This window comes from Homo sapiens, chromosome 13 (assembly GCF_000001405.40).
Source record: "Homo sapiens chromosome 13, GRCh38.p14 Primary Assembly".
NCBI classification, from domain to species: domain Eukaryota; kingdom Metazoa; phylum Chordata; class Mammalia; order Primates; family Hominidae; genus Homo; species Homo sapiens.
Window position 1 is genome coordinate 60120327 of NC_000013.11, and position 22491 is coordinate 60142817.

The 22491-nt window shown below is 35.8% G+C and overlaps 1 protein-coding gene across 16 annotated transcripts in view; it reads right to left on the reverse strand.

The window, feature by feature from the left end:
* DIAPH3 (diaphanous related formin 3) overlaps positions 1-22491 on the reverse strand; it is a 498346-nt gene that overhangs the window by 454744 nt on the left and 21111 nt on the right. For 12 of the 16 annotated variants that reach the window (XR_002957478.1, XR_002957480.1, XR_941672.1 and 9 more), the window contains exon 2: positions 12631-12663. The exons of the other annotated variants lie outside the window; for them this stretch is intronic. Coding sequence is in view for 7 of the 12 variants with exons in the window: in NM_001042517.2 (NP_001035982.1) it covers positions 12631-12663 (33 nt within the window). In the remaining 5 variants the exon portion in view is untranslated. The remainder of the gene's footprint in view (positions 1-12630; positions 12664-22491) is intronic. 16 annotated transcript variants of the gene reach the window in all.

Consider the following 22491-nt stretch of genomic DNA (forward strand, 5'->3'; position numbering starts at 1 on the left):
GTTTTAGGCCATAGACTTAACCACCCAGGAACAATTCCTACCATCCGATCAACTGCATTCTGACTTCGATATTCCTCAATGTTACAAATGGGCTTCTTCACCTCTTAATTTGTATTTTACTGGAATTTATAAGAAGTTCTTTAGCCAGAGGCTTCTTTGAAAAGACGAAAACTTACTGTTCCCTCCCTACCAAAAAATACTTGATTATCTACTTATAATATTTTGTCCACATTTAGGTTTCACATAGTATTTTAATATTATTAAATGAAAAACAAATTTATGCTCTTAAAATTTCTTCAATTGCTTGAAAATAAGTTACAACATGCAATACGTGTTCTAAAGCCAGCTGTCATGCCATGGAGCAGTGTTTGGAGATGCCTGCACAGGGAAGAACCGAGGCCTCCCCGCACCAATTAGCACCCACTTGCCAGTCATGAGTGAGCCACTTTGGAAATAGATACTCCAGCCCCATCAAGGCTGCAGATGATTATAATCTCATGAAAGACCTCAAAACAGAACCATACTGTAAGCTGTTTCCAAATTTTTGATGCAAGAAACTGAAATATCAAGTGTTTATTATTGTTTGAAGCCACCAAGTTTTGAGAAATGTTATATAGCAATAGATAATTACAGAGCTCCTCATAGAATACTTTTAAATGCCTAAAATATATACGAACTAAAGTAAAATGAGGTTATAAAATTATTAAATTTTAATATATCAATAAATGTTCTTCACTATTGCATTAAATAACAAAGGTAATGACAAGTCTAATTTCAACATATTGTCAAATGTAAACCATATTTTGAAATGTCTTCAGTAACTACTGTGCTTTGAAAATATCTGATTTCTGTTGGTGATAAAGTCGCAGGCCAAATACTACTGTGGGTTTTTCTGGCATGCTGATAGGTTTTTTTTTTCCTATATGCATAACTGAAAGAAATACTAAATTTCATTTACAGATTAAAGAAAATAAAGATTTAATTTTTTCTTCAAGGACACCACGAATTCCACCAAGACCCCTTGGTGGTCCATGGACCACAAGCTAAGAACACCTGGTAGGTGGGTACAGAACGATAGCAGAAATTGTGGTGGAAAAGGAGAAAGTAACTCAAGTTCCAATGCCTTCAGTGAATCAGTGGGAGGGACTAGAAGACCTACAGTTGAGACCACCAACAAGGAGGAACCAACAGGTTGTATACTCTGATGGTTTATGCTTCAAAGAGAGCTGGAAGCTTTTGAAGTAAGAAGCCACCAGGAAAATAAAGCCATCAAAGAACATCCAGGTTTCAACTACAGCAAGGAGGAAAGAGAACATTCAAAGAAGACGACAGACTTCGAGTTCCAAAGGGCAAAGTAGGAGGGTTTGGGAAGCCTGGAGGACTTGATAGATATCAGATTAGAAGAATGAATGGACCTGAATAGTGAGAGAAGCAAAGGGGTGATTACTGATGATATGAATTGATTATGACTCAGCTCTGCCGAAAGGTGATTTGAATTGTGATAACTGTAATGAAAATTAATAAAGACATAAACCAAAGCATGTGGACTACACCTCCTTTATTCATCTTCTCTCTGTCTCTACTGTCGCTAGCTCAGGCCACTTCTAACCTGCCTCCTAGCCTTCTAACCTGCCTCCATCTCTTCACTGCCCTCTCCCCCTACCATGCTATAGCAATTCTCTACCCCAACATCATTCAACCACCTGAAAATGCAAATCCAGTCATGCCCCTCACTCCTGTGGTTAAACTCTTTCAATAGCCCCTCATTACTCAAAGGATGACATTCTTGGCTCAAAGGTTCATCTTGATCTGAACATATTTCCTCTCTAGACAATCTTTTCACCACTCCACCACCTTACACTGTATGATCTAGAGATAATGAACAACCTAGAATCTCCTAAACATGTACAGGTTGTTCCTTGTGCCTAAAACCTACCCACACCTCATACCCCATCCCCTTACCTGGCTAATTTCAACTCAATCTTCAGCTCCCAACTTAAACTACAGCTCATGTAAGAGCCCATTTTGATTCCTCAAGACTGAGTTAGATGCTCAAAGACTTAGTGCTTGCATCATATAATATGTATACAATTCTTTAAATGCCTGTGAACTAGGCTTTAAGTCCTTGAGAACAGATACTGTTATTTTATTCACTAAACCCCCTCTGAACTTACCACAGTTCTAAACATGTAGTGGATGTTATATTAATATTTGTTAAGTGAATAAATTAATAATTAGCTTCCTATCTTCCAGGCCTGGAACACCCTAGCCATTGCTTCTTGCCATGCTAAATTTTTCTCAACAATATTTTAAATAAAAAATAATTAACACAGCATATGAAGGGAGAATGCCAGGTGTTATGCCTTTTATATATTCAATAGGAAAACCCAGACTCTTCCTAACACTGATAATTTAGAGTAGGCCCCTACACTAAAAACAAGGATAACTTATGTTATTTAATATCATGATATAAGGTAATAAGAAAAATATCCATTCAAAAAGGAGCACACATATCATTGAAAAAAAATTTAACATTCAAGAAACCCCAAAGTTCTATCTACCCATCTACTCAAAGTACAATTCTAATTGCATATATTTAAATATTAATAATATATACTTGAGAAGTAATATAAATTAGCCCTGTATATATTACATTTTATTTTAAAAAGCATAGACCTATATTACCCATAAACAAAAAGTCATGTGAAGACATCAATAATCGCTTTCTACTTGCCAACCTGACATGCTTCCACTACGAATCCATTTCATTGGTATGCCAGAAGTAAAATTAATAAGGAGTAAAAATTACACCAACTCCTGCCAGCCCAGATTCCAACCTGTCCTTCAAAACTCAGCTGAAAAGTCACCTTCACATGAAGTCTTCTAAGATCAAGTGACCTTCCAGCCCCTATCATATCACACTAAAACTACTGATTGTCTATACATCCATTTCTCTACTGCACCCAGACGACAGAGACCTTCTTTTTCCATATTTGTATTTCTAAAAGAGTACTAGGCACTCAACAAATTATTAATGAATGAGTGGACAAAACAATGAATATACAAGTCTGTACACCCTACTACATATTAGTATATTCAACTCTGAGAGCTCTTGATCTTATTCCCAAGTTTGTGCTGATTTGAGGAGGAGCTCTCTAAACTATCCTATAAATATTTAAAGATTCTAAGATAGTACTTAAGTATTACTACTGAAAATTTAAGTACAGGAAGTCCTAATTAACTCATTAATGGGCTAAGAAAGGCCCACCTGACTAAATGAACAGTTTAAGTTATTTAAAACAGAACTTGTTTGGATGTATTTTACATTCAGTCGCCCCAATCCATGCTGGTATTTCTACTTTACACAGAAGAGTATAATATGAATATATAGTTTTACTGAAAAACTGTGGTTGGGCAGATGGTACATCACACTTTTTATCACTCATTGTTATTAACTTACCAAGGAAAATATAAAAAGTTAATGAAAATAGAAAGTAAATTATAGTACAGAGAGCCTTATATCCTACTAGAATAATAAGATAAAACTATCTTAAATAATTCTAGGTTGAGCCTTTATTTTTAAAAGCTACTGACTTATGTTCTATTACTTGACTTTAAAGTTAGGCACAAATTCAGGTAATTAAAGTCATTTTCCTTTCTTTCATAAATATGATGTATAATTTAGCATATATCCCACAAGACACATCACATCTAGGTAGGTACAGGTAAACAAAGCTCAGTCCTATTAGGCCGCATTCATCTTTGAGTGAAGTCTCACAGAAATCACATCGGAATGTACTAGAGTTGTCTGGTAACAGTTATACCGAGGAAGAAGGCCCAGAGAACAGTTAGGAGGTGAGAGAAGAGTGAGGTGAAAGCTTCCACTCACTCACTAGAACCTACATCCACAGCAGGTGATTTCTGCAGTGGCTCTATGACCCCATTACCCCGGGAACTTTGAGGAGAACAAGGAAAGCCTGTATCTATATCTGGGCGCAGGCAGCAGTTGTTCTGAGATATGTGAAGTGCTTTCTATACAGAGAAATTTTTCCATGTCCTTTGTAATTAAAAGAATCTCATATCCTTTAACAGATGACCTCTCAGTCCAACACCTCACTATTTTTTGGGGTGGATTTTTTTCAGTTTTGTTTACTTGAGATATTCAAAATAGTTCATTTCTCATCTTAGAAAACATCTTAGATATAGTATGTCTTTATAATTATAATGATTTTCTCCGGATTAAGGTCAATGGCTATGATACAATTTCTCTTTTCCAATTAGAAGTCTCATATCGATGGCATCAAGGGAAAAGCGGACAATATTAAGATACGGTCTTGGTAACATGGAGAAACCCCATCGCTACAAAAAAATACAAAAATTAGCCAAGCAAGGTGGTGTATGTCTGTAGTCCCAGCTACTTGGGGGTCTGAGCTGGAGCCCAGGAGGTTGGGGCTACAGTGAGCTGTGTTTGCACCACTGCCCTGGGTGACAAAGCGAGACCCTGTCTCAAAAAAAAAAAGGGGAAAGAATGAGATATACTTCTAGATTTTACATTTGGTGCTCTCAGCGGAGAAAAGGATAGTACTTAAATGGCATTATAATGCTTTTGATAAAGATCATGTTACTTGGAGCCAATCTGCCAGAGTTTTCCTGGCTGCCCTCTATGACTCTGAATAAGTTACTTAAGCTCTCTCTTCCCCCAGTTTCCCCATCTTTAAAGATGGGAACAGTAACAGTGCTTACTCAGAGGTTTGGTGTTACAATTAAATGTGTTTATATAGTAAACATTTGGAACACTCTTTAGCACATAGCTAACAATTACATAGTCCTTACTGTTACTTAACACACCGCTCTTCTAATTAGCAACCACAATTCCCTAGTTATGTTGTTTTGTTTTGTTTTTTTAAGACAAGGTTTCCCTCTGTCACTCAGACTGCAGTACAGTGGCACAATCATGGCTCACTGTAGCCTCAAACTCCAGGGTTCAAGTGATTCTCCTGCCTCAGTCTCCCAAGTAGCTAGGACTAGGACTACAGGTTCACATCTGCATACCATCACACCCAGCTAATTTTTTTTTTTTTTTTTTTTTTTTTTGGTAGAGACAGGGTCTCCCTATCTTGCCCAGGCTAATCTCGAAGTTCTGGGCTCATGCAGTCCTCCCACTTCAGCCTCCCAAACAAAGTGCCGTGATTACAGACATGAGCCACTACACTCAGCCCCCTAATTATGTTTTTATACTCCCTAAGTAAATTCTCCAGCATCTTATATCTTTGTATTCCCTAGAAGGTTTCTGCACGCTAATGAGAGATGCATTATCAAGTTAGAGAGGCAGGGTCCTGTCATGAAGGCCTTATCTGCCATGTTAGACTTGACCTATATAAAACAGTTGCAATTAAGCAGTTTCAAACAGCATAAAACATTATCAGATAGGCAATGTAGATAGATCACTCTGATAGCTGTGTGGGAAGGTGGCATTTTGGGTAGCAATAGGAAGCTGCCAGAGTCCAGAGAAGAAAAAATGAGAAGACTAGGACTGATAGAAGAAACGAGAGAAGAAGAGATTCAAGAAATAATCAGAAAGAAACATTGGAAAGGTGAAGCTACTTTCTAAGAGAATATAAGGAATAAAACAAGTTTATGAGGAAAGTAAAGGGTTTAACTTAGAGCACACAGAGCTTCTAGAATAGATGAGACATCCATTGAGGTTATTCAGTAGGCCAATGAATTATTTCTCAATTGGAGGAAAAGGTCCTAAACAGAGATATACATGGTTAGTTGAAAACTTCAGAGGTGATTACCCAAGTAAAACACTACATACCGAGGGAAAGAATAGTAGAATCAGGAAAAACAACTGAGAAAAAACAATAATTTAAGGCAAAAAGGAAAAATTATGCAACCAGATAGATAATGAAAAGTCAAAGGGGTATGAAATTGAGAAAATTTGATGTCACAGAAGTCAAGAAATCTTTGTTCTCCAAAGAAGCAGCATATGATTATATCAAGTAGAGTAGGTAAATCCAATAAATTTCCAAGAACTAAAAACTAATAAAAATTATTTGTGATTTTAAAACGTCATTTATTAAAGATAAAGAAGTCACAACAATCTTATATATGCACTTTACTGCAAAGCTTCAAAATACGTGAAGCAAAAACCAATCGAACGGGAAAAATAAAATCTAAAATCACAGTGGGAGACTTCGATACTTCTCTCAATAATTGTTAGAACACACAGAAAATTAACAAGAATACAGAAGATGTGAACAGCACTACCAACCATTCAGAATATACACGAATACTGACCAAGATAGACCATGTTCTGGGACATAAAGTAAGACTTAAAAAATCAGAAAGGACAGAATTCATGCAAACTACAGGTCTCTGACCACGAGGGAACTAAATTACAAATCAGACACAGTCAAATATCAGGAAAACCCCTAAATATTTGGAAGTTAAATAACATATACCAAAATAACCCATGGGTCAAAGAAAATAAGAAATTTAAAAATATTCAATTCAATAAAATTTTGTGGGATGCAGCTAAAGCAGATGTCAGAGGAAAATTTATAGCATAAAAAATCTAACATGTTAGCAAACAAAGGTATTAAATCAATGACTTAGAGTTCTACCTTAAGAAATCAGAGAAAAAAATAATAAAACAAAAGAAAGTAAATAATAAAGGTAAAACAAACAAAAACAAAAGAACTATAAAGAAAATTAGTGAAAACAAAAGCTAGTTTTTCAAAAGATCAATAAAACTGGCAAACCTCTAGCCAGACTAGTCACAGAGAAAAACACAGAAAACACAAATTATCAATATGAGGATTGCAAAGGGGGTAATTAATACAGATCCTGCATTAAAGGGATAAGAAAATATCACAAACAACTTTATACCCATAAATTCAACAACATAGATAAAATTTAAAATATAGGTAAAAATTTAGATTTAACAATATAGGTAAAATGTATGTCCTTGAAAGACATAAACTACCAAGGCTCACTTAGGAAAAAATAGATTACTTGAATAGTCCTATATCTAGTAACAGACATTTAAACAAGAAAATGTTAAATAAGCACATAAAAAAAAGTTCAACATTAGTAATTGTGGGAAACAATTTGTCAGTTTCTTATCAAGTTAAAGACACACTTACTATATGACTCCCACAAAAAACAAAAACATATACACAAAAAAAAACAATGCTGTACTCAAATGCTCATAGCAACTGTACTAATAATAGCCGAAAACTGGAAACAACCCAAACTGCTGAAGTTAAACCAATTGTAGTATTACCAAACAATGAGCCAGACACAAAGGCAACACACTTTGTGACTCCATTTATATGAAATTCTAAAAACTGAACTATAGTTCAGAATGCTGATAAGTGTTTGTCAAAAGCCAGGATGGGAGAAGAGAATTGACTGTAAGCGGGTACAGAGGGAACCTTTTGGGGTGATGGAAATATTTCATATCACGACTAGTGCACTCATTATTGTATATATTTCTCAAAATTCATCAGATTATACTCAATACTGGTACAATATAATGCACGTAAATTATATTGTAAGTAAATCATACCTCAACTTTTTTTTTAACTTTTAGGTTCAGAGGTACATGTGCAGGTTTGTTATATAGATAAACTCATGTCACATAGGTTTGTTGTACAGATTATTTCAGCCAGGTACTGGTCCTAGTACTAGTACTTAATAGATATTTTTTCTGATATTCTCCCTCCTCCCACCCATCACCCTCAAGTATGCCCCAGTGTCTGTTTTTCCCCTCTTTGTGTCCATGTGTTCTCATCATTTAGCTCCCACTTACAAGTGAGAACATGCAGTATTTGGTTTTCTGTTCCTGTGTTAGTTTGCTAAGGATAATGGCCTCCAGCTCCATCCATGTTCCTGCAAAGGACATGATCTTGTTCTTTTTTATGGCTGCATAGTATTGCATGGTGTATTAGTACCATACTTTCTTTATCCAATCTGCCATTGATGGGCATTTAGATTGATTCCATGTCTTTGCTATTGTAAATAGTGCTGCAATGACCATACGTGTACATGTGTCTTTATGGTAGAAAATTTTATATTCCTTTGGGTATATACCCAGCAATGAGATTGCTGGATCATACCTCATTTTTTGAAAGTGTGTATTACTAAACATAGCACTAAATTATAAATGCACGGTTTACCAAGCATCTTACTTAATTTGTCCCTTAAACTATCTCTATACCAAGGCTCAAAAGCTACATAACTAACACAAAGTCACACAGCTAGTAAATGGCAGAGGTGGCATTCTAACCTGGCTTTCCTACATGCAACTACATATAATAAAGAATAGACACTAATGCAAAGACCTCATGACTTCCTCTAGTTTCTGTGCAGGCCAATGTTTGGTTTTCTAGCTATAGCTGTTAACCATTTGTGGGTCATGAAATCAATTTAGTGGATTCAATTACCTTTTTTTTTTTTTTAAGGAATGGAGAGGAGTGAAGAAAATTAGAAAGGAATGGAAATAAAAAGATCAGAATTCATTTTGCTTAGAAATGTTAAATACTGGTTTTTAAACTTTTGTTTCAACTGAGAAGCAGAGAGTTTAGGAGTTTATGCATGCCAGGCTACAAAATAAAATATATTTCTTAATGCAGTATCTAGTCAAAAAGATTTGAAAACCATTGCTGCAGGCCAAACAGTAAAGCAGGCTGCAGTCAGATGAACAAAGAGATGAGGATCATAGAAGTACTATACTGTAGACAAATGGTTATGAAGGACAGGAGAGAAAACAGCAAGTCAAAAACAACTCCTATACTCCAAAAACACTCAGTGGACACACTGATGGATAATTTAGCATTGTCACATCCACATTCAATGTCTTCCAACTTACCTTTTCAAACCTGTCTCCCCTCACTCCCCCCTCCTCCCAACCTTTTTGCCTCTATGAGGAAAACCTTCTTCAAAACCCAGGTATAAGCAATGGAAGTTATAAGCTAAACATTTATTCACCTTTATTTATTACCCTAGCACCTAAGCTGCACTTTATACAAAGAGAATGCTCATATTTATAGAACAAACACTGCTTATAGTCTATTAACTCTGCCTAGGGAACCCAACAATATAGCAATCCTTTATTCCTTTAACAAGACAGTGAAATTCAATTCTGATAGTAACTCAAGAAATAACCTTAAAACATGAAGTACTTTTGCAGACCTTTAACAAAACAACTTAAAGGGATAGGTTTTTAACATTAATGCTTCCCGTGATGTTTTAATGTTTCTAAAATACTGTTATTCAAATGTATGACTACAGCACATTGCTATTCTTATATGCCTCTCTCAAGTTCTGACCAAAAAAAAGGCTATTCACATTAAGAATTTCTACGTTGAAAGCATACATGCAATGTGTATGTTGTAAGGGGGCAAACTTCAATCAGAAAACATATTGCCAGTACATATCAAAGCATCATTGGCAAATGCTGCCCTGAGCTCTAACACACCAGAAATAGTTTAAAGAGCCCTCAAAATATCCAGCTACCCTTTCCCTTCTCACAACTCTGCATTGATCTATAACATATACCCTGGAAGGCTCAGCTGCAAATGTGTCACACCACTTCTCTGTCTGTACATCAAGAAATATTTTTTAAAGGGGTAAAAACGGACAGAACTGAATGCAGCAGGTCAACATACTTAAACTTAAGAAACTCACCAAAACTATGAGAAAGGAAGAAACTGTATAATTAGTCCCAATTTAAATAAGTGAACAATCAAATAATTGATTTGCCAAGGTAACAGAGCTAATAAGAGGTAAAATTCTGTCTTTCACCAAGAATCTTCTGATTCCAAATCCAACAATGCTCTTTCTACACTGTATCAGTCAACAATGAATAAGAAAGAATTTACTCTTTGGTGTCTCCTGTTGAAGATAGCCATGCTTATTCTCAAATCTCTACAGCAACAGATACAGATGCCTAAACTAGGCTACCTGCCTGATCCTTCCCTGGACTAAATTCTGGGCCTACCCAAGAGACAAGCTAAAGCACAAGATCAGAAGAGAACAGTGAGAGTGAGGAGACAGTAGTTCAGTCAGCAAGTCCATGTGAAGAGGGTCAATGAGGAATCCAGGAGAGACAGACGTGTACAATTAAGAAGAAAGCAGGGGCAAGGCAATCCAGGCAAGCGGTCAGAAAGACTGACAGAAGGTCCTCATTACAGCTCCCTTACCTTGTGCAAAAAAGGCAAGACTCTGTCTCTGGGAAGCCTGACTAGCGCCAAGCCAGGCTGAGATCCAATACCAGGCAGGTTATCAGAACAGTGACTCTTTCACTTGTTCAACAAAAAAATTTATTAAAATACTCACTATGTGCCAGAAAGCATGCTAGGTACTGGAAGTATTCATTACACATCGTCCCTGCCTTCAAAAGGTTTAAACCATTGAGAAAGGCAGATAATAAATGATGTATTGTTGAAGATATGCACTAGGCATTATGGTAACAACTCAAAAGTTTTTACCTTACCAAGGCCAGTTGCAAGGATAAAGGGAGAGGTGAGGAATGGGGGAAGGTCAGAGAAAGAACTAAGAAAGTCCTCAATGAGGAACTCAATTATTAATATAAGATAGAGCAACATGGCTTCTGGAATGGCATGCCGAAGCCACCCTATGACTCTAGTTTCTAAAACTTAAGGTAAAGATCGTGGGTTGGCAGTGTGCAAGGACTGTCATATAATGAAAATAAGGGCAGTGTTTGAAAGAGAAAAAAATGCAATGTCCATAAAATATGAATAAACCTCAAAAATGTCATCATACAGAATACTATCCAGCAATAAAAGTGAATGAGGCTGGTGCAGTGGCCCACATCTACAATCCCAAAACTTTTGGAGGCCACGGCAGAAGGATCACTTGAGCCCAGGAGTTTAAACCCAGCCTGGGCAACATAGGGAGATCTTGTCTCTCCAAAAAATTAAAAACTTCAAAATTAGCTAGGTGAGGTGGTGCATGCCTGTAATCCCCGCTACTCAGGAGGCTGATGTGGGAGGATTGCCTGAGCCCAGGAGGTCAAGACTGCAGTGAGTCATGATCATGTCACTGCACTTCAGCCTGGACAACAGAGCGAGACCCTGTCTCAAAAAAAAAAAAAAAAAAAAAAAAACAAATGAAGTACTGATACATGCAACAATGTGGATGAACCTTGAACACATTATGGTAAGCGAAATAAGTGAATCACGAAAGACCACATACGATATGAGTCAATTTATATGAAATGTCCAGAACAGGCAAATCTATACAGTCAGAAAGTAGATTGGTGGTTGCCTAGAACTGAGGGAGTTGAGGGAAAACAGAGAGGGATTATTTATGAACATGACGTTTCTTTTAAGGTTGACGAAAATGTTCTAAAAATGACTGTAGTAATGGTTGTACAATTCTTCTGAACAGATCAAAGCTGTTACAAATATATCATTGTATATCATAAAACTTCAAACATAAAAATTGCAGATGGTTTATCAGCCTTAAGAAGCCATTTGCAAGCTGGGTTAAGTTAGCACACTAAGTATATGAGACTTAAAGCAATGTGGAACAAAATTCAAGCTATAACTGTATCACTTGCCAGCTGGGCACACTTGAGCAAGCTACTTAATCTGTCTGAGCCTCAATATTGTCAACTGTAAAATAAAGACATCTACCTTGCAAGGTGAGAAATCTGTATTGTTACCAATTTCTATATGTTAGTATATGAAAATGTCATCCAGAAAATTATATGTAAATATGCTTTTCTTAGGTACTATTCAAAGGAATAAAACATACCAACATTCTAATACAATTTTTAAGTCATTCATGTCAAGATCTACGTTTCATTCGTCTTTGTATTCTGCCTTACCCAGGTGCATAAGACAGTACTTTGGATATTAGAAGTACTATTTTCTAAGTGCTTACTATGGTCTAGGCATTCTCCTTCATGCTTCATATATGGTGAAGTTTAATGCAAAGCCTGGTCAATGGGGGGCCATGCTTTTTCCTCTATAACACACTTACATATTTTTGGTGTCATTGTTTGTGTTTTGTTGTTGTTCTTCTTGTTATTCCTTTACTATTAACCACAAGTTACATTTAAAAATATATTTCTCAGAAAAACTTACTTGACTATGCAAGAATCTACAATGGTGCTATAAAGTGTTACTATGAGAAGCCCTATTATTTTCAACATAAAAAACGTAGTAAGGCATACCCGGTTCTCTCATTTTTAAGCAAAATTTTAAAAATATATATGCATAATATTTTAGTCTGACTTACTTTAATTAGCAACTACATATTTCTGAAAAGCTGACATGTCTTTGCTATTTTTACTTCTTTTTTGAAGTGTGCAACTCATTCCTAAAGAATGAGAGTTGATTTGAATGATTCAAAGTTGACTAACAATTTGTAATTAAACAAATTTTTTTAATTAACATATCCACCATTCACTTTACAACTTAAAACCAACAATTTAGTGTATTTTACCAGTTCTGCCTCTTATTTCAGCACTATAAGAATAGTACGTTTCCAATATATGTGACTTTTAGCCATTTCAAAGATGTTAGCAGAGCACACCATCAACGTTATATGGTTAGTTACAATTCATAACAAAGGAAAAGTTGAGGATAATCTTACCATATCATCCGTCAGTGTCCTAATATTTAAATGCTGCAAATTAAAAAAAAGCAATCATATTAGTAATTTATAACAGCTTCTTTATTTTAGTTAATAGGGTACATTCAAAATTCTACAATCCTAACTTGAATATAATTAAATTTCTGACAGTCCAATAAAAACACATTATATATAATCGTTTTAATCTCTTTCTCAAAAAGATGGACAAAAGTTACCCTGCGTGTGATAGTTCCAAACACTTACTAAAATTTTTTTACTTTGTAAAACTCACAAACTAAAAAATTAACTATGGTACAATAAATATATTATCCCAATTAACAGTATTAATTACCATTAAGTATATTAACTTAGAACACAATGTATCTGTCTGAGAATGAGGGCACATAGAAAAAATAAAATGAAAAAGAACACTGGATATAAAAGATTTTAATGTGATGATTTTTCAGAAAATTTTTCATATTATAGAACAGTGAAACTTTAAATTTACCATTAGTATGCAGCATAATAGATAATGAAGTACTTTGCTGGCTTAATTAACTTAAACAATTCTAGTAACAGAGAAGAATGTACTAAAATGACTATTTGCATCTTTAACATCAGTTTGATTTATCATGAGTGGTGACAGTAGACACTTTTCAATTTCATTGCTAGCTTCAAGGACCCTTTTGCTGATTTCCTTGCTAGACAAACATAAGACCATTCTAGAGAGTGAATAGTTTCCTGCAAAATACAATTCAAAAGAAAAAAATAATTATTTAGAGAAAAAACACAGAAATCTAAGTTTTATAAGTCCCAGTGTCGGGAAAGATATTGTATTCAAGTAACTGGAATCAATTACCAATTCTCCTTTCTCTTATTCACTGGAGCATTCAATTTTTAAAGGGGCAGGGAAAGGGTCAAACACATTTTCTAAATAGGAAACAAGGTCTACTCTTTTATAAGGACAGATGTTAATAACCATTATCTAACAGACTAAGTGGTACACAGTTAAATTCAACATTTACTTAATAGAATGAAATTTATCATTCATGTTTGTATACTCAAGTACACCTTCATGCTCATGAATCTACCTCAGTGATGATCCAGATTAAAAATCTGTACAATGTAAATCACCATCCCAGATTCTCTTCTCCCTTTCTTTCACCAAGATGTTCCTTCTTCTAGTGCAAAGGAAAGAAGGTAACTTGTATCTAAAATGAATTTTGTGTATACCAAAGAAAATGTAGCCAAATGAAAGACCATTAGCCACACCACTAGGCTCCAGATTAAACTGCCTTGTTGAATTAGAATCACCTACTTTGACTTGGGAATAAGGAAGTAATAATAGTGGATTAACTAAGGGTTAGTATCTAATACCAGGCTATAGAATTTGCTTTTTTATCAATACTATCTTCAGCCTTTGAAATTAACAAGTACGCACGGTGGTCCTTAAAAGTGGTTGGGATCCTGAGCGGGATGTAAAGTATGTAAGGAACTTAGGGCCACAGTGTCACCCCAGAGACCATTACTAAAATTAAACCCAAACGTAGAGGGCTCTTGAGTTTGCAGAGAAAGGAGCTGGGGCAATGCCTGTGTGAGGCGCCCTTCCTCTAACAGCCTGTTGTATGTGTGCCTTCCTGCCAGTAGAGGCTTCCAGCCTATTGCATTTGGTTAACCACATTTCACTCTTGTTATTCCACAATCAGAGGTATCACTCCAATCACATCTCATTTCACTCTCAAAAGGGTTCATTTCAAGTTCCTGTGAAAAAGAAAAAAAAAAGTGGCAGGTAATGAACTTCTGGCACAATGGCATGCCAAGTGGCCTAATGCTTAAAAAGTAAAGCCAAAGAAATAAACTATAAAGCTGAAATCCTATTTAGGATGGTATGCCACAATAAAGAGAAAAACATCTACTTAAACAAATAAAATATTCCCAAAACCAGCTTGAATTGCCTCAGGAAAATGCCATAAAAGTGATATTTTAAAAAGTAAGAGTAAAAGACAATAAAAATAGATAAATAATTTTAAAATAAAGACGACTAGGGTCCAGGCAAGATTTATGATCTAAAAACTACATAAAAGATACAGAAAGTAAAAGGAAAATAAAACTAGACAGGAAAATAGGAAATGTAAGTTACATGATGCAAAATCCAGTTGTAAACATTCAAGAGAAACACTTATATACTGTCAAAGGTCTAAAATTAGACCATCTTTTTAAAATTTCAGTTGGGCTCACAACGTTCAGGAAAAAGAACAGCCACTCTTATGTAAAAACAAGGCAACCCAGGGATCCATTTTTGGTCATGGTTTTCTTTTTTTTTTTTTTTTAATATATACATTCTGAAACTATCTCATTGAGGGTATAGCTTTTTAAAAGATTTAATTTCCTAAAGGCTTGATCTGTTTTCAAACTATATAGGTATGTACATAAGCCCAGTTATAACCTATGTTATTATATTTCCCAAAGAACATGTGATGAATCACAACAGAATTAAGATGCAGGTGTATCCTGCATGGAGAAGAAAACTCAAAGGGATGTAGATGTGGAGAGTATAACAGAGTCTGAGAGAAAAGAAGGTCAAATTCATCATTCCTTCTCTTCCAGAGAACACTTACCTATCAATTCTCACCATCAGCAAGAGAAGTCAATAGGGCAGGAAATCACAGCAAATTCAAGAGTCCAGACGGGACTGGAGAAACTCACTAACAGAGTAAGGAGCTGGAAAACTGATCTGAGAATTGTGTTTCTTTCTACACCAAAACAATAAAGTCAGAATAGGTTTCATTTCAAGATTTAGCTTGCTGAAGAATAGAGATTACATAGTTATGTACACACATGCAATCTTAAACCACTAAAGATAGGCTAGCATTAAAAATCTAAATAAATCTAAGCACTAGTAATTTCCCTTAAAAACTGGAATGTCTCATCATAGTTTACTTTAAACGTGAATTAAAGAAAAAATAAACACTAAATACTTAGTGAAAAAATGTAAACACTATATCAAGTGGCAATCTTTTGTAGGATGTCTGAATGTTAATACTAAATTCAAGTTTATCATTGAAAGTTTACATGATCTCAAGGTCCTGCCTGTTTGGCTTATACACATAAAATAGGGACTATCCATGAAGTAGAAATTGCCAAGAAGAGGGAGAAAGGAAGAAAATGACTAACTAAATCCTCAGATAATTCTATGGGGTTTTAGCCTTACTTTTGTAAATACAAAACTATAAGGGTAATATCCTTAATTAAAATTAGAAAAAACTTTGTAACACAAAAATATTGATTTTATGGTGGTACTTGAGGTACTGTTTAAAATGAAGTACCTCTGTTTTATAGCCACCAGCAATGCTCTTTACTGTCTTCTAGTTCAGGAAAATAGTTAACTGCAAACATCAATCCAGTTCATGAGTAGCCACCGTGGACATCTACTCCAAAAAGGAAATAGAAACATAAAACCGACTATTAAATGGAAGCAACTAGGAAACACCTTTAAAAATAATAACCTGATAGCAAATTTTTAGGGTTATATTTACCAAAAAAAAAAAAAAAAAAAAGTTAGAAGCATACAGTTTTAGACATTAAAACTTTCATATCTAAATGTGACTTTGTGACCTTTACATATATTACCTACCTGGCCTATGATTCTAGAGGTGTTATTAATGTTTTATGGCACTGAAATCAAATAAAACTCATGATTTTAAATTATAAACAATTCTGCCGGGCGCGGCGGCTCACGCCTGTAATCCCAGCACTTTGGGAGGCAGAGGCGGGCGGATCACGAGGTCAGGAGATCGAGACCATCCTGGCTAACACAGTGAAACCCCGTCTCTACTAAAAATACAAAAAAAAAAATTAGCCGGGCGTGGTGGCGGGTGCCTGCAGTCCCAGCTACTCGGGAGGCTGAGACAGGAGAATGGCGTGAACCCGGGAGGCGGAGCTTGCAGTGAGCCGAGATTGTGCCACTGCACTCCAGCCTGGGCGACAGAGCGAGACTCCGTCTCAAAAAAAAAAAAAATAATAATAAATAACCGTTCTGTCCACAAGACTACTGGTTATTGGTTAAGGTGTGATATTAAAGAATATGAGGGCTCTTTTCCTAAGCTAAAAACTCATCCTTCTTCCTCTGGTCCTATGTTTCTCAAATACTAATTCTATTTTCTCCCTAAAAAGTAAGGAGAACCACATACAGATGGGTAACAATGTTTTCTGTTAATGACAGTTCCTAGGATGAATGGTCAAGAGGGTCACTCTGGAATTGAAAGAGAAAAAAAGCCTTTATAGATTTTTCTTCAAAAGAACATAGGAGTCGGGGGGAAAAAAGTAGAAACACAGAACATCGGTCTCTATATTCCCATTTAAGCAATGCATCAAAACTTTTATTGAAGATAGTACATGCTGTCAAAAAATGGATTTAGAGCTTTCAGAGAACTGTGCTAAATGCTGTGAATATCAAGAGGCATGTGAAATAGTTTCCCCACTAACTTAGTTTACAAGTAACAAAGACAGATAAATTGTAGTACACAAAGCAATATACAAACCCAGGAGGTCCACACACAGTGAAAAAGATGCCAAGCTGTAGCCCAAGACTTTTCGCAAATTTTATGTTTTCTTTCATTGGTTAGCATATCTGAACTAGCAGGCCAATGGAGCAAAGGATCTGTCCATTGATATCATTAGGAACATGACAGCCACCATCAGATTCAAGCCAGTAGGCTTGCATCAATTTATTATTATCAGAACCAAATATGTGGTAGCATTTTTAAATAATCTTTGGCTGACACAGTTTAATTCCATTAAAATTGACTTTTTTTTTTTTTTTTTTTTAGACACAGTCTTGCTCGGTCACCCAGGCTGGAGTGCAGCAGTGCACTTGATCTCAGGTTCAAGTGATGCTCCTGCCTCAGCCTCTCGAGTAGCTGGGACCACAGGCGTGCACCACCATGCCCGGCTAATTTTTGTATTTTTAGTGGAGACAGGGTTTCGCCATGTTGGCCAGACTAGTCTCGAAATCCTGACCTCAGGTGATCCTCCCACCTCGGCCTCCCAAAGTGCTGGGATTAAAGGAGTGAGCCACCACGCCTGGCCAAAAATTTACGTCATTTAAGTGGGTTATGAGGGATTACCAACATGAGGAAAACTTGTAAGATTAAAGACTCAGACACAATTTTCATAAGCTAGATCCTCCGGACCAGCTGGTTTTTCCAGGTTTTTGTTTGTTTGGCGTGCACAAGAATCACACCAAGACTTTCTCTGAAAAGCTAGATTAGAGGGCCTCAGTCTACCAATATTCTTATTCAGTAAGTCTAAGGTGGGACCTGGGAACCCACATGTTTAAGAAGTCATGCCTGTAATGATGTGGCAGCATGCCCAGGACCACGTGAGAAACCCTACTCCATACTCCACCACTATCAGCCATTAAACATTCCCTCAGCCTGCACACATATGAATTTCTCATCATGTAGCTCACTTTAAAAACTGGACATACCTGAAACAAGCCACATGAAGGGTATAGATAAGAAGTACAAGAGTATTTCAAAGAAGTGAAAACAGAGAGCTGATAAAGTTGGGACAGGCCTTACTGCCATGAAGTGAAAGGTACCAATTAGCACTGTTTTAAGATAATTCAACAATCTCTGGTATGTATGATGAATTACCAATTGCATCATTTATTTAAATGCTTAGTCTAAGGTACAAATCATTCAGTCTCATAAACATAAACTTAGTACCTAAGTATTAAAGATTGTTCATTGTATCAGACTATGACATGATACCATTTGCTTGACAAAATGAATAAATCACAGGTTACTAACAGGAAGGAAGGAGAAGGAGAAGGAGAAGGAGAAGAAGGGGAAGAGGGAAGAGGGAAGAGGGAAGAGGGAAGAGGGGAGGGGAGGGGAGGATATCTTAAAGAAAAAAGGAAAGGATTAGTCTTCTCTTAATCATCTTCTCTTAATCATAATCTATGGCTGATAATAGGTTGAGATGTTGCTCACATTTTTGTTTTGAAGTCCAGATTATTCCTTTCCAACAATAATGTATGAATATGTACTTCAATCTGATAACATTTCTAGCCCACACACCTGTGTTTATCTTAACGTCAACACCAATTATAAAGACTATGAAAATTTAAAGTAATATTCCTACCAGCCATGACTCTCGACACACCTACAGAGTCTATGGATCATCTCCCTGGCAACTACACAACACACATAGATGTGAAAATATTATTCTTCAAGGGCTCCAGATTTAACATCTAAGAAAGGTCCAAAAATAATACTGAAGCTTTCATAGCACTGAGGACAAGAGTAGAGCTGGCTCTTTGATACTACAAAGAAAAACTTTTAAGTTGACATGTTTTTTCAGTCCAAGGTGGAAAAAAGTGAAAGGGGAGATGTTAGGAACAGGTGAGAATTAGGAAAAGCTCTCCAGCCTCTTTTAATCTGCTCATTTATTCAAAACTGCAATTCTGCCAACCTCAGAAAGACAAACATACCATGTATTACTCACTATCCAAAGCTTCTCTACTGTCATGCACTCAAGTATCCAGACCTCCCTGCCCCTCAATTCCTCCATCGTGAAAGGAGAGCCAACGAGAGATCAGCGTTAAGGAGAAGGCATCATTCAAGTGTCCACAGCAGTGAAAAGATGCATTTCTCTGAGAACACAAGGTTTAAGGAGGCAACATACCTGCTAGGAAAGAACTGCCTCTGTAGAAAAAAACAATTATCATATTGTGGCTTGGGACTCTGACCTAGATTGCACCCCACAGAGGCTAACCTAACAAGTCATTTTTCATTCTAACATAACTCCAATATTCTTTTTCCTTGAATGAACTCATTCAATGTTGGGGTAAAATAAAAGGAAAAATATAATGGCTAATTTAGTAACACAGCTTTTGTACATATTTTAAGATGCCTCTTCGTCTATTTCAGTTCTTTTCACCTATACTACCAGATGAAAAACTCTTTTGCAACATGTCCAGGGAAAAGCAAATCGAATCTCTGAACCACTTTACAAGTAGGTTCAGTTCTAGGTTATGGGAATCCAAGACCTTTTTCATTGTCTGGAGAAGGCTGAAAAGCATTTACAGTATTTGCTATACAGAGAATTAGAGATCCCAGAACTCCCAGAGTCACCTTGAAGCTTATCGCAACTACTAAATTACTTCTGAGAGTGGCTTAGCATCCTAGACATCTTGTCCACAACACAAATTTAGATTGGATGTTCCTGAGACTGACAGAGCATCACCCATTCTTTCACATATATTTGAGAAAGATTTTGTTTATATTTCAGCATCACCATAAAGGAAATTTGGTTAAACCATTTTAGGAAACAATTTGGTAAAACAAATCCCATGTTCACACTTTAACCTAATAATTCTACTTCTAGAATCCATACTTGGGAATTAAGAAATACAATCAAAAGTTTATATACAAATATGTATCACTACAGCATTACTTTAAATAGCTAGAACTGTAATCAGCCTGAGATTTCCCCAAACATAGGAAAGATTAAATAAATCACAGTCCTACCAATATGAACTATAATGACATGGAAAAATGCTTACAATACAATGGTACATGAAAAAAAGTGCATTTAAAATTGCATATGTAACATAATTCCAACTTCATTAATATACATATATATGGAAAAAATAAAACAGGAATCATAGGTAATTTTACACATCTGGATTATGGGATTTGTGGGTTTTTTTCATATCTTCATGTATTTTCCCAGTTGTCTCAATAAGCATATTTACTTTTAATACAGAAAGTATTTTTTAAGTTACTATGGATAATACTTTTCAGATTGAGCAGAAAATACAGATTGTTCCTTTTCAAATAAAAATGTATGTATTAGTAAAAGAAAAAATGAAAATCTAAAAAACATCTAATAAATATGTGCACAGACTTTTTAATAGGCTAGTTTTTTAATGCATATTTTCAAGTATGTCAGAATATATTAAGCACATTATTCGTCTGTTTTCTAATTCACATATATAAATTATCCAATCTCAAAAAGCTCCTTGGTTCTGTGAATTATTGATGTTGTCACCTGCTACAGACTTAATTCCAAGAAAAATATACGAATCACTACATCACAAGCACAAATCCTTTTGACACAAATTCAATTTCTGTGGCAACAATAATATATTGACTTTGCTTTATTTTTCTACTTTATGACACTTATTAATGGCAGAGTTAAAAGAAATCTATCATTTTTCTTTATTGTAAATGTAAATGATATCATGCCATCTTGAGAAAGTTAGGGTAAATACCACTTACTAGATAATTCCTTAATGTAAATAAGGTCATGATGCCAAAATATAAGAAATAAAAGATAAAGATTTTAAGCAAGACCTAGTCTCATAATTCTAATTTTTTCTACTACACAATTAGGCCAACATGTGTGAGACACATCATTAAATATGAAGACCCAGTCTCTCCCCTTACAAGCTTGCAACCAAAAGAACAAGATAAACCAATAACCAAAATGCTTCATAATAAGGTATTCAATGGTGATTGGAAGAAAAGCGGAGTCTCCACCTGCTAATCATATATGCTTAAATGCATGCTAATTAACAGGCAAGCATTATAGCAATGATCTAAGACTAAAGGCAAATAAAATTTTAGCCATGATTCAGGTAAAACTTGGAATGTAGAATTTGTTCTTCTAACAGAATGAAAGATTCCTAAAACATTCATTCATGCAACAACTGTTAATTAAATATTGCTATATTCTTGACAAGGGAGAGATCAATAAATAAAACAAAGATTTTTGCCCTAAAAGAACTTATCTTTATTGGGGAAACAGACAATAAGCACAATAAGTAAATTACTTATTTAAGATGTTAGAAGGTGATGAATGCTCTGATAAAAATAAAAAGTAGCATAAGCCAAGAGGGTTTGCAGGTTGCAATTTTAAACATGGGGAATTGAGGTAGGCATAGGCCTCATTGACAAAGTGGTGTTTGAGCAGAGTTGCCAGTGGGCTAAGGTGTCATCTATATGGATGGGCAGGGGAGTGTTTGCAATAGAAAAAACAGCCATAACAAGGCTGTCAGGAGGAGTATGCCTGATGTTCAAGAAACAAGGGAGCTTGTTGGCTCCAACAGGACAAAATGAAGTCAGTGAGAGGGAAGGAGGAGGCAGATCAGTCCCAGACCATTTCAAAGACGTGGGCTTTTACTTTTCTAACTGAATAGTCACAAATATTTTGTAAGTATACAAATATAAATAACCAACTTACACAGTAAATAATAATCAGATCAGCATATTCAGCATATTATACAAATTACTGAAGGTAGGGAGGAAGGTCTGTACTCAAATAATCATTATTTACTTGAGGGCCCTTTAAGTGGCTTAGTTATGCTTCCAGGAGTCATTTACCAGAAGGTATTAGAAATACTCTCAAAACACTGTAAAGCCAATAAAGGCAATTTTTGGAAAAACTCAGTTAATTCTATCAATTATTTTTTTAATATGGAATTAGTCTAGGGGGTAGAGGGACCAGTTTAGCATGTCTAGAGAAAAAACAGTAAGAAAAACAGTATTTACAACAATTTAAACATAACTCTGAGGACCCCTCGGAAGTTTGAGCGCCAACCCTAAGGAGTCCCCCCAAGAGGTCTACATGCAGATGGTAATGTGCTCCACACGTGTGCGAGTCCCAGCAACAGGGACCCTTGTAGACAGCCCAGCACCAGCCATGGTTGCCCCTCCTCCAGCTCCTACCATCAGGGACTCTTTCCCTTCCTGCAGTTAATAATCTCTGATTTACCTCAGCATCTCCAATATGCCCTTTTCCTTTCTTTTTTATTTTTTATTATTTTTTTTAGAGACAGGGTCTTGCTGTGTCGCCCAAGCTGGAATGCAATGG